We start from the raw sequence: 14260 nt of genomic DNA, 5'->3' as shown, positions 1-14260 counted from the left end.
AGGCACAGTACTTTGAGATCTTCATGCAGGGCATAGTGATAGCCAAATGCAAGCCCTACTGTGGGTTTTCCACAACCTCTTGCACCCTTTGTTGACCAAGCAGAATTGCTCATTAGTATGGTGTGGTGTACAGTGGGTCAGCTTGTTAAGAAAAGAGCATTTACATTTGATAAGCCTCGGAAGGAAGACCATCAACACCACCCCTGTCCCCCCACTCCCTATACACAGCTCGGCTGGCTGCCCTTGAAACAAACCTGAAAATCCTCTGCTGTTTGTTTTGTGGGGTCTCCCTCTCCCACCCGATCAGAACAGATCAGACACCAAGCCGGTGCTGCAGACAGTTAAGCCTCATGAAAAAGGAAGCTGAAACTACCAATCATATGCCCTTGTAGGAAAGTCAACTATGGACTCTGAATTCTGAAAGCTTTGCTCCAACCCAAGGACTGACTTCTTTAAGGTTACTTTTCTATTCAGCACCCACTGGAGACATGCTGAACACTTGACATTTATAAGAGGAGAAAGCTGTCTTCTGGTTCCTTTTACTTACTGTGAGGTGTGGGCGACAGGTTCTGAACTCGTTATTGTAATTCTACTGAAATTGTAATGACTCATAGATGAGAGAAAGAGAGAGAGAGAGAGTATAAGTCTATGCTGCTGACCAAACCTTTAGGTGAGTGCAAATGAATGTGTGATTGAAGAAAGAGATGCTAAACTGGAAATGTGAAAAATAGAGTTGATTCCCAGGGGGTAGGTGGTGGATTTGGAAGTCAGTCATTTCTGGAGAGTTGACCAAGAAAGAGAAATTTAAAATACTTTACAAAGTGAACAAATAATATGAAAGGGTCGTAATTTAAGAAAACTCAGGAGGGAAAATTTCAACTTAAAGAAATGTATTTGGGGCCGGGCACAGAGGCTCATGTCTGTAATCCCAGCACTATGGGAAGTCAAGGTGGGTGGATCACCTGAGGTTAGGAGTTCAAGACCAGCCTGGCCAACATGGTGAAACCCCATCTCTACTAAAAATATAAAAAATTAGCCAGGCATGGTGTTGGGTACCTGTAATTCCAGCTACTTGGGAGGCTGAACAGGAGAATCGCTTGAACCTGGGAGGTGGAGGTTGCAGTGAGCTGAGATCATGCCATTGCACTCCAGCCTGGGTGACAGAGCAAGACTCTATCTCAAAAAAAAAAAAGAAAGAAACAAAGAAAGAAATGTATTTGGGAAGGGGATGATTATTCATTTGCAAACAGGGACTTACTTTTACTAAATAATTATCACTGTGTTCTGTAGCATCATATGACCAACTTCTGTAATAGATTTTCAAAAAATGATCTCACTCTCTGGGGAATATAGCTATAGATTACATATAGGTGTGTGTGTGTGTGTTCAAAAATTATTTTTAAATATGGTAAAGCATAGTAATGTTCAAAAGCCAATGTCAAAATCTGATTAGCTCAATTCTGTTTTGTAACTTTAAACTGCTCCAAAACAACACTTATAATGGTCTATTGTTCTGAGAAATAATCAGAGAGGAAGGCAAGGTTACATCAAGTATTCAAGCTAACACGTATTCGGCACTGAACAATCCAACCCAAAACATTCTCAAGATTTCAGCTCTGCAAAACTTAATTCAGTGTTAAAATATCTCTATGACCTAGAAATAAAATATTATTTTAAAAATTCCAAAATCAAGTCATATGTTTTACATTGATGGCATTAAAATATGAAAGTGTAGAACTGTAAGGTTGAAACAAATAATCTAGAATTATTAAAAATATGTGAGATGGTAGAGAGATACATACTTTTTTGTTTTTAGTTTGGTTGGAAGAGGATACATATGTGAGTATTCTATACACAAGCAGATGTATTCAATTAATTCAAAACAGAGGTATGCTTCATGATGGAATCTAGAGGCAAGTAAAGATATAAGCTTGTATTTATTTTGGGGGTGTGCTTATTTATTGTGTTAGATGGCAAAAGACCCAAACATTCCAGGAGAGATCACATGATTTGTAAGTAGGTAACTTGCTCTTTTTACATTATGCTGTTGACTTCCATTGGAACCAGCCTGGGTTTATCCTCTTTGCTAAGAGATAAAGCAGTTCTTCTTATTTATAATTTTACAATGAATTTTCCTTGTTTAATTACCTTATATTCCAGAGCTCCCTAGAAGACCATGTTTTATATTTGTGTTGGACTATTGAGGTCTGGCCTTCTACTTAAATGACATCCTGGAGAAGATTCTTTTTCTGCTAATAAACCCAACTAACTTTAACTTTAAAATATTAGAGACTTTCTTAAAGTGTGATGATATGTTGGATCTGTTGGTTTGGTACCTAGATTAATAATCTTTGTTGAAGTGCTAGCGTGCTAGACAACCACAGAAAACAATATTCATTCATTTTTGCAAAGACCTGACCCCAGAATGTTTCAATAGCAGTGGCTCCCTCTGCTTGATAAGTCACTTTACCTCCCAACCCCTCCCTCGAAAGAAATTTCTTTCCTTTTTTTTTCTTTCATTAAAAAAATTAATAGTAACGGGGTCTTGCTATATTGCCCAGGCTGGTCTAGAACCCCTGACCTCAATTGATTCTCCTATCTCAGCCTCCCAAAGTGCTGGGATTACAGGTGTGGCCTCCTTTCCTTTCTTTATAAAGTTTGTCATTAATTGATAGGGGTACTGCAAGTATTTTATCTAAGGCTTTATTCATATTGAAATCTTGATGGCAGAGAAAACATGTTAAGCCATCATCAGTTATTTTGGCTTTAGAGTAATTGAACTTTCAGTTCTTTCTCGTGAATAAGTTTTGATGATACTTAGAAAGCTAAAGAAGGCTGGGAAGACTGGGAAACTGTGTGGAGAAAGAAGTCTCAGGGAAGAGACCTTAATTCTATTCCGTATAAGCCTACAGTCATGTTTTGAGGGCTTCCTTAAGTTTAAGATACCTGGTACTCTGCTGTTAGAAAAGGGCATTAAATTTGTTAGCATCTTCATTTGAACCAGGGCCAAAGCTGCCTTATAGATTCAGAGGTGGATTCATTAATTCTATTCAAGAACGTTGTGCCAAAGGAGTTTCCCCTTGGGCCATCCTCAGTTAGCAGGAAAAGTCTTCACACCAAAACCACAAAGCCCTCTGCTCTTGAAACTGCCCTGGAGACAGCCACGCTGGATGAGGTGCACACTGGACAATATGGTGGGGCCAGGGCCAGGCAGAGGACATCCATTGGCCTCACTTGCTGCCCACTTCTGAAAATATCCTTTCCCTTCTGTTAATACTTTTTAGAAAGGTCAGTTGAGAGAGGAAAGAACAAGAGTTCATATGTCATCTTACCCTTCTGCCAACTGGATTCTAGTAAGTTGATCTTACTTATAATATGAAAATCTTTTTGTTTCAGAGAAAAAAATAGTCAGATTCAGTCCCCATCTCTGTGCCCAGGTCGTTCATCTGGAAATAGGGGAAGGGGGAAATGTTGAGTAAGGAAACAAGAAGTTCTCTAGCAACTCTCTACTTACTATAACTGTCAAATATCTAAATATGAAGACGTTAAGATGACCACCCAATGATGGAGAAGTACATTGACAATAGTAATTTTTTTACATGAATTTTAGGATACATAATAATGATATTTGACTTATTCCCTCTGGCAAGAAAATCACATTGCCCTCAATTCTTTCATTCTCTCTCTCTCTCTCTCTCTCTCTCTCTCTTTCTTTCCTTACTCTCCCCCTCTCTGTGTGTGTGTGATTTATTTTCAACTCTCCTGGAGAAGGCTGACAAATTAGTCACAAGTTCCCTAGTGGGAGGACTAGCCTTTTCCTAGTCCCCCTAAAAATCCAGATAGCAACCCTGAAAATATCCAAACACATATTCAAGAAAGAAAGAACAATAATCTCTAAGAGCCACAAGTCTAATAGACCCTACGTTAATGATATGGCCCTTGAGCCTCCAAAGCACATTGAACAAATAGGACTGAACATAGCAGTGAGAGCTCACAGGGAGGGAGGCAGTGTGGGTCGTATCTAAATAGTAATGGACTTAGGTGACTCATTCCTTTTAGCTTTAAAATACACTGACACATTCTACAGCAAAGTCTGTATGCTTAAATATTAACACTTAATGTTTTTCTTATGTATATGTGCAAAGACATTTGATGCATATCTTTGTATAACAAACAATTATTATTATTCATGACATAGTCCCCAGTTTAATTTGTTGTTCAAAGGTAAATGCTTTTAGGATCTGTCACCTGAAGGCATTGAAGGGTATCATATCACAGGAATTAAGTTTCCAAATCATAATTCTCTGCTCCTCGTGGATTAAAGATAACGGAAGACTCAACTCCTCTCTCCTAAGAGGAATGCCTTTATTTGTCTTTTCTGAAACAAAGAGAACCTTGTTGGTATTCACTGCATTTTAATATATCATAAACATTATCAGTAAATGAAAGAAAAATAATCTGTCATATTTAGCCTCAAAACACTCATTGCTGTATAATGAGCACCAAAGAAATGTTAGCTAATCATTCAGGAGACAATGCGTGAAGTAGTTAAAAATATCATCTAGAGGATCCTAGTTCTGTAGCAGAACCTTGCACGCTAATCTCCTTGGGTCTCAGTTTCCATCTCTAGCAGAGGAATAAAAATCAGGGCCAAATGAGACAACGCAGAGCCTGAACACAGGAAATACATAGGTAGTATTTAACAATAATTTTTGAACAGCCTACATGTATGCAAGGAGTTGAGGGAATAGAGCACCCCTTCCCATCCACTCCAACTGTATCCATCTAATATGTTGAGACATTGCCTCCATCACTCCAATTGCAAATAAGCTCTTAGTCCTCTGAAATTCGGTAGTATTTTGTCTATATCTCTAACGTATGTTGTAGTTAACTATGTATGTATACATGAAGATTAAATGAGTTAATATGTGTGAAGCAGCTGGAGTGGTGCCTGGCTCCTCGTACACACCCAAGGAGTGTTAGATATTATCATTATTTTTCTTCACAGAGAGTGCTTCAAGGCACATTTTTTTTTTCCTGGTGGGCCATATAAAGTAGGAAAGCATTGAGGACCCATGCCAAGACATCTTCACCAAAAGGACATCTGTTATTCTTTTTGCTATCCTGCTTTCCTGAGCGAAGTTTGCAACAGTGAATGACAAACTAGAGCAGAATTTTCATGAGTTCATCTTCTCTTTCCTCAGCCAAATTAAATGACACGATATATGTAGATGCTTGGCACAGAGTGGGCACTTTATACACTGCGTAATTGCACAACAACTGATGTTCTGGCAGGGTGCAGTGGCTCATGGCTATAATCCCAGCACTTTGGGAGACTGAGGTGAGAGGTGAGAGGATCGATTGAGCCCAGGAGGTTGGGGCTGCAGTGAGCTGTGATCGCGCCACTGCACTCTAGCCTGGGCGACAGAGCAAGACCGTGTCTCAAAACGAACCAGCAAAACAACTGAAGTTTTCTATTCTTCCAGGGATTGGTCCACAGATCTTGCCCACTGTAAATGTTCAGGTATTATACATTTATTCATCATTGTTTCATTAGCAGATGATAGTTTATCACTCAATATGTGCCAGACACTGTAAATAGTTGCTGGGAATACAATAAGCTAGTTTGATTCCTTCCTCAGGAGATTACAGTTTAGCCTGAACTTTGATTCTCTTAACTTTTTTTCATGTGAAAGCATACACTGAAAACTATCCTATCTGTAAATGAGCAGAAATGTCTAGAAGCAGTCATCTCCAGGGTCTCAGCCACCAACGACCAAGAGAGAGGCATTTTGGTATGCTGGTTGGGAACCTTTGTGTAGTGTTCAACCTTTAATGTGTTTAATTTCTCCTTAGCTTTTCAAATTAGATGGGAATACAGTACTTAGTTGGTGGTAGGGGAGGAAGGAGTAGACACTCAAACCTGGTACTGTGTTTAATGCTGAAATTGTAGGGTGGCACTCTCATGTCTGAACTTTGAATAGCAACAAAAAGGATTAGCAGGCTGACTGATGGAAAAAAAACAAAACAGAAACATGTACCACCATGTTTTAAACGAATAATCTTTAAAAATGGTTTCAAGAGCTGTTGGTTTTAAACCAATTGATTTTTAAATGTGCTTTCACAGTACTACGATGATAATTGCCTTGAGTGAGTTACCATCCGTCACAGGCTCTTTTGTATATTTCACAGCTCTCTCCTGGGAGGACAAATAATAGAACTGCATTGTATTTCACTAGCCTGGGAATTGTGGGACCCAAGGTACTTGGGAGAAGTTCATGTTCTTTAGCCCTTAGAGCATTGGGAGTAACATTTTTCAGGTTAGTATAACCTCCTCTGGCAGGGTAAACATTTGGGCTGCATTTTTTTAAAGAGCCCTTGATTTAAAAAAGCTGGTAGTGGTAAACAGCAAGACTCTACCATCACATTTTTAACATAGCTCTGGAGGAACTATGATTTAAAATCAAAAGTCTTCTCATTCCTATGGCAACCAAAGAAGTATTCAACTAATGTAACATGCTGTGTCCATTAAGTGCTGTGTTCCTCCCCCACCTTCTGCTGCCTCCCTCTCTCTGGATCAACCTGAACCTCACTAAACTGTATACCTGGAAAAAGGCTCTTTTCCAGATGCAGAATTGGCTTGCAACATGCAAGCCATCAAACCCATGAATGTAAAAGGGAAGAGTCCTCCCAGAGGAAACCTTTACAAACCCAAAGGGAAAAAGCACCCCAAAATAGAGACACCGTCTGCTTCCCTCATTTGACATGTTTGAGAGCTCCTTGTTTTAAAGCCAGACACAAATCTGTGAAGAGATTCCCTTGAGTTACAACCCTTTTTGGGAGCAGCTACCATGAAGATAACATATGTGGTGAGACAGAGCCAACAGCACCCACTGTGCTGCAGCACAGCCATGGGAACATTTATCACACATTCCCAGGAAGCTGGAGTGGTTACTCATGCTTATAGAGAAATACCCTCCCTGAGCCACTGCCTCATGGGGTGGTGGGGGTTGGCTGCCACCATTACTGCCTACATTTCAAGGAGGACTCCAGTGGCTTTATGCTCTCCTAGAGGGCTCCTTTTTTTAGTCAGAAGCTGAAGCCTGAGATTCAAAGACCCCAAAATCAAGGAGAAGCAGAGTCTGAATTCTGGCTAAGTGATTTTGAAATTTACAAGAAAGAAAATAATTTTCAGGGTGGAGATGGCCAGGGATGCTTTACATAAAGTCTTGCATAGATTCCAATGTGGATGGACTGGTCGTTTGCTTCTGGTTCTTTGGAGAGGTTCAGAGGAACATTCTGAATCACAGAGAAGCATCATACCTCCATTGGCTTCTCTTTGGACTCCAATCCCTGTCTTTCTGTCCCTGGGCTTCCTCAATGACAGTGTATGTTTGAGAGGAAATTGGGTGAAGACTGTCCTCAATCATTGTATTTGTGGCAAGTGTAAGGACTGAGAGGTCTGTTGCTCTGTGACTTTAGGCACAGTGCTTCCCAGCTCTGGGCTTTTCTCCCATCATTTGTATGACAGTGATGTTAAACTCTTTTAAGTTTAAAGTAAGTCCAAGTCTAAGGTATCTATTGCTCAAAAAGTTTAGAACTGAAGTTAATAGAATTGAGACCTGATTAAAGCTTTCTATTTCTTTCTTTTTATAAAATGAGACTAAGATATGTACAAGCAGACTGTACAGTGAGACCCACGGTACGGGGTCTTGCTGCTCAAAATGTGTCCCTACAGGGGCATCATCACTGGGACACGGGAGCTTGGGACCTGCAGAAGCTTGAGCCCTAGTCCAGACCTCCTGTTTCAGAATCTGCATTTTAATAAGATCTTCAGGAAATTCATGGGCACATTAAAATGTGAAAACTACTGACAGAGAGTTCTTACAGAGGCTGTGTTTCTCTAAATTTGTTGGCACTGAGGTCAACTGTTTCAAGCACCCTGACTTACTTTGCCCATATCCCTGGTGATGTTATTACTGATCATTTTTTCCCATCAAACAGGTGAGAAAACCTAAACTCATAGAGATTAGGTAACTTGCCTATAGTCACACAATAGATTATTAGATGTTGGGCTGAAGTGGATTTAAGACAGACTTCCTTGTGTGGCCAATTAGCTGTGAGGGAGAAGAAACCAGGTCTTCTTTAGAATGTCCACCATAAACCTCGCTTGTTTATTAACAATAGCATCTCCTGGTATAAAACCCTTTATGTAGCCTTCCCCACCTGCCCCCCAACTTGACATTGTACTTTTCAATTTAAAAATGATCATTGGATTCTCAAGACAGCCTCACATGAAAATCAAGGGAGGGATTCTCCATTTTACTCAATTCTGCTTCATTCTACAGAAGGGGACAGAAAGTCTAGAGAACCTAATGGACTAGTTGGAGCTAGTAAGTGCCAGAACAAAAGCTGAAGCCCAGATGTTTTGGAGTCAAGCCTACTGTGACAGCACCATCTTCACATTGTGTCTCATTCAGAGTGTTTATCCTGCTGGCTGCTCTGTGCCCACACTTACCTTAAAGACCAGGACAACTGGTGATGCCTTCTTGGTGATTCTTCTTCGTGATTCTTTTTTACTTTTTTATTACAGAAATTTTATTGTGGTAAAACACACATAATACAAAACTTACCATCTTAACCATTTTTTAGTGTATGGATCAATGGTATTAAGTACTACACATGAGTGTGCAAATATCTCTTTGAGACTCTGCTTTCCATTCTTTTGCGTAGTCCAGAAGTGGAATTGCTGAACCATATGGCAATTGTGCTTTTAATTTTTTGAAAAACTGTCATACTGTTTTCCACAGAGGCTGCACCATTTTACATCTCCACCAAGAGTGCAGAAGTGTTCCAGTTTTTCTACATCTTTGCCAACACTTGTTATTTTCTCTTTTTTAAAAAAAAAAATCCAAATGGATATGAAGTTCTTTGTGATTCTTGAAGGAGCATTGCTCTTTGAATGGCCCTGCTTGCACACTGGGTAGGCCAATGGGTGTCTGACACAAAGGCCAAAGCACTTTGATTTGAGCTTGTTATAGAGTCAAGATCACAAGCATGCTGTTGAGAGAGTGAAAAGACAAGCCACATACTAGGAGAAAATGTTTGCAAATCATATATTTGAGAAAGGGATTGTATCTGGTAAGAAAAACTCTCAAGCCTTACAAATAAGAATACAAAAATGCAATAAAAATATGGGCAAGACATTTGAATAGACACATTGCCAAAGGAGACATGTGATGACAAATAAGCACATAAAAAGATGTCCAACATCATCACTCATTAGGGAAGTGCAAATTAAAATGTATTAGAATGTCTAAGGCAAAAAAGGGTGACCATACTGGGTGCTGGCAAGGATGTAGAGCAACTGGAATTCTTACATTGCTTGTGGAAAATAAAATTATTACAAGTATGTTGGAAACATTTTGACAGCTTCTTGAATAAACGTTCACCTACCATATGATCCAGCCACTCAACTCCTAGAGGTTGCCTAAGAGAAATGAAGGCATATGTCTTGTAAAAAGATTGTTCATAGCAGCTTTATTTTTAACAGTCCCTAACTGGAAATAAGCCAAATGTCCCTCAACAGGTGAATGGATAAAATAACTGTGGTGTATTCATACAATGAGATACTACTCAGCAATAATAGGGAATGGACCACTGATACCTGCAACAACACAGGTGAATCTCAGAAACATTTTGCTGATTGAAAGAAGCCAGACAAAAAAAAGGAGTACATACTGTGTGATTCAGTGTATATAAAACTGTAGAAAATGCAAACTAATACATACTGACAGATTAGTGGCTGCCTGAGAATGAAGTTGGGTAGAACAGGGGAGATGAGATTATAAAGGGCATAAGGAAATTTTGGGGGATAATGGGTGTGTTCATGATCTTGATTGTGGTGATGGTCTCAACAGTGTATGTAGTTCAAGAGTGAATTAACCATATTACACACTTTAAATATATAGCATTTGTTGTAAGTCTGTTATGCTTCCAGAAGAGCTATTTTTAAGAATTGAAGGAAACTGTAATACCATAATGGATGTTTTCTCTTTTATTATTTCAGCTTTTATTTTAGATTCAGGAGGTACATGTGCAGGTTTGTTACAAGGATATATTGTATGATGTTGAGGTTTGGGGTATGATTGACCCTGTCACCCAGGTACTAAGCATAGTACCCAATAGTTAGTTTTTCAGCCTCCTCCACCCATTTGTCCCCAGTGTCTATTGTTGCCATCTTGTTGTCTATATGTTCTCAATGTTTAGCTCTCACTGATACGTAAGAACATGTCATATTTGGTTTTGTTCCCGTGTTAACTGGCTTAGGATAATGGCCTCCAGCAGCATCCATGTTGGATGCAGCCACAGTTCATGGCTGTGTAGTATTCCATGTAGTATTCCATATACCACATTTTCTTTATCCAGTCCACCATTGATGGTCACCTATGTTGGTTCCATGTCTTTGCTATTGTGAATAGTGCTCCAATGAATATACGAGTGCATGTATCTTTTTGGTGGAACAATTTCTTTTGGATAAATACTCAGTAATGGGATTGCTGGATCAAATAATAGTTCTAAGTTCTTTGAGAAATCTCCAAACTGCATTCCACAGTGGCTAAATTAATTTACATTCCCATCAATGGTGTATAAGCGTTCCCTGTTCTCTGCAGCCTTAATAGTATCTGTTGTTTTTTGACTTTTAATAGTAGCTATTCTGACTGGTGTGAGATGGTATCTCATTGTGATTTTGATTTGCATTTCTCTGATGATTAGCGATGTTGAACATTTTTTCATGTTTGTTGACTGCTTGTATGTCTTCATTTGAGAAGTGTCTATTAATGTCTTTTGACTATTTTTTAATGGGGCTATTTGTTTTTCGTTGCTTCAGTTTTTAAGTTTCTTATAGATTCTGGATATTAGACCTTAGTTGGAGGCATAGTTTGCAAATGTTTTCTCTCATTCTATAGGTTGTCTGTTTATTCTGTTTCTCTGTTGATTGTTTATTTACTCCTTCCTTCCCTCCTTCCCTCCTTCCTTCCTTCCTTTTCTTGCCTTCCTCCCTCCCTCCCTTTTCTCCTCCTTTCCTTTCCTTTCCTTCCTCCCTCCCTCCCTCTTCCTTCCTTCCTTCCTTCCTTCCTTCCTTTCTCTTTCTTTCTTTTTCCTCCTTTCTTTCTTTCAACAGGATCTCACTCTGTGTCACCCAGGCTGGAATGCAGTGGTGCAAACATGGCCCACTGCAGCCTGGACCCTCCTGGGATCAAGCAATCCTCCTGCCTCAGCTTCCCAAGTAGCTGGGACTACAGACACACCACCATACCCAGCTAATTTTTTTTTTTTATCTTTTGTAGAGATGGGGGATAGTTTCTTTTGCTGTGCAGAAGCTCTTTAGTTTAATTAGTTCCAATCTGTCAATTTTTATTTTTGTTGCAATTGCTTTTGAGGACTTAGTCATAAATTATTTCCCAAGGCTGATATTCAGAATGGTATTTCCTAGGTTTTCCTCAAAGATTCTTATAGTTTGAAGTCTTACATTTAAATCTTTAACCCATCTTGAGTTAATTTTTGTATATGGTGAACGGTAGGGGTCCAGTTTCTTTCTTCTGCATATGACTAGCCATCTATTACAGCACCATTTATTGAATATGGAGTACTTTCTCCATTGCTTATTTTTGTCAACTTTGTCTAAGATAAGATGACTGTAGATGTGTGGGTTTATTTCTGGGTTCTCTATTCTGTTTCATTGGTCTGTGTGTCTGTTTTTATACTGGTACCATGCTCTTTTGGTTATTACAGGCTTTTAGTATAGTTTTAAGTCTGGTAATTTGATGTCTCCAGCTTTGTGCTTTTTGCTTATGATTGCTTTGGCTATTTGGGCTTCTTTTTGATTCCCTGTGAATTTTAGAATAGCTTTTTTAGTTCTGTGAAAAATGACATTGGTAGTTTGATAGGAATAGCATTGAAACTGTAAATTGCTTTGGGCAGTATGGCCATTTTAATGATATTGATTCTTTTAATCTATGTGTATGAAATATTTTTCCATTTGTGTCATCTATGATTTCTCTCAGCAGTGTTTTGTTGTTCTCCTTATAGAGATCTTTTACTGCCTTGGTTAAATGTATTCCCAAGTATTTATTTTATTTTATTTTTTTGCAGTTATTGTAAATGGGATTGCATTATTGATTTGACTCTCAGCTTGAATATTGTTAGTGTATAGAAAAAGATACTTTGATATTGTATCCTGAAACTTCACTGAAGTCATTTATCAATTCCAGGAGCCTTTTGGCAGAGTCTTTAGAATCCTCTATATATAGAATCATATTGTCTACAAAGAAAAATAGACTTCTTCTTTTCCTATTTGGATGCCTTTGATTTCTTTCTTTTGCCTGATTGCTTGACTGGGACTGCCCCATAATTGACCTTAATGTCCATTTTTCTATTTTATTTCTTTTAGTTAATGTTATGAGAAATTGGAAAGGTGATTTTTGAAGATTTAATTCAGCCTACAAGTATTTTCTCCATTCAGAAAGTAGTTATACCATATATTTCTTATTTTAAAACATGTACAAATTATTGTGAAGCTTCTGCATTAGACATGAAACAATTGTTGCTATAATTATTATTTTTCATAGCATCAAGCCATCTTGACCACTGATGCTAGAAGTAAACTGGCCTTAGTGTAGTAGTGGAAGTCAAATAGCACACCCACGAGTGGCTTAGCACTAAGCAAACTCAAATAAGGTATTTCTCAGAGAGAGGGAAATATAACAAGGAAAGTACATTTTTGAGATTTTAGATTAAAATATAGTGGTTTCAAAGCCAAATTTTATTGAAATGAGATAGAAGCATACATCAAAAAGGGAAAATGGGTCTTTGGAATGGTTATAGGGTTATTTTGTGTCACCGAATGAGCAATTGTTGAAACAAGTTGTTGAATGGTAGTAAGAATTTCTCATATGATCACTTGAGCAACACAATTAAAAAATATATCTCTATCCAGTTTGATTTTGACTCCAGTATCCTTTAGCTTACAGGCTGGTCTGAACTTCTCTGAAGTTGTCTTCAGAAGGAGGCATCTTCTCCAAAGCTCACTTAAACATGGAAGAAAATCCCATATCTGTTAGAAATCGGCAGAATGACATGTTTTTCCATTTTAGTTTCTTGTTTGTCTTTAAGAAATATTGAGAAAAGCCAAAAGCTATGTATATATATAACATACAAACATGAACACACAATGAAAAACTGTTCTTAGAATAAATATTTTCATAATCAAAAGAGATATAAAAATTTAATTTATTTATCAGAAAAAATGAAGCACAGAGTTCTTATTTGGTATCTATGAGAACTGAATTGTTTATGCCATAAAAACTGGACCAATCGCTATAGTATCAAGCTGGCTAGATTTGATTAATTGACTAACTGACATTTGCTATCGATTCATAAACATCATAAAACATGAAATTTGTGGAATAAATGCTGACTTTTTTCTTGAAAAGTTCAATTCTGATCAATGGAATGAAGTAATTGAGCATTGTTTATTAAATATTGAACAGTTATTAGATTAAACAATATGAAATCGCTGGTATTAAACCACTTCTGGCTTACAAAAGAGTCAGGCACTGGTGAGGTGCTAAACGTTAAAATATGATTAAAAATAAAATGATTACATTCAAAGAACTCAGTCTACTGAAGAAAACAGACTCCAAATCTGATAAGCGTGAGTGTTCTATAAGACAGGTGTGTGCGTAGAGGCAGGGAAAGTGGAAAAACTAACTTTGCTTCAGCAGACATTTTACTAACTGCTATCCACCAGTAATAGTGCAATATTTTAATAGAATAATCTACATGTTCTTTTCTGGACTCACAAATTCATTCTGAAGGTAATAACACCAACAACTGTATGTGGAATGATAGAGAATAATTGCCTGGGAATGTTTTCAGCTTTTGTGCTCAAAAACTTTAAATCGATCTGTTCTTCTGTCCTCTTAACAAATCCATTTGGAAAATTTTTGGATATCAGCAAGGAGACTGTCATCAAATGATTTATGCAGAACCGAGCAGTGATGCAGTTCCCTGGCAGTCCATTTTGTTGATAGTCATGAAGAGATCAACACTCCAGGGGCCTCTTCTATATACTTGGGATTATTATCATAATCCCCAAATTATAAGATCTTTTGGGAGATAGCTACCATCTTTCTTGATATCCCTGTTTTTAGCCATAAACACATTTTAAATTCATTGGCACTCACATGGCTTTTAA

The 14260-nt window shown here is 38.1% G+C and overlaps 1 long non-coding RNA gene across 2 annotated transcripts in view; it reads left to right on the top strand.

The window, feature by feature from the left end:
* The window catches only part of LOC107984015 (uncharacterized), a 49066-nt gene that overhangs the window by 28076 nt on the left and 6730 nt on the right, over positions 1-14260 (top strand). The gene's annotated exons all lie outside the window — the stretch shown is intronic.

This window comes from Homo sapiens, chromosome 6 (assembly GCF_000001405.40).
Source record: "Homo sapiens chromosome 6, GRCh38.p14 Primary Assembly".
NCBI lineage: Eukaryota > Metazoa > Chordata > Mammalia > Primates > Hominidae > Homo > Homo sapiens.
The sequence above is the reverse complement of the archived record's forward strand: the minus strand, read 5'-3'. Positions and strand labels throughout refer to the sequence as shown.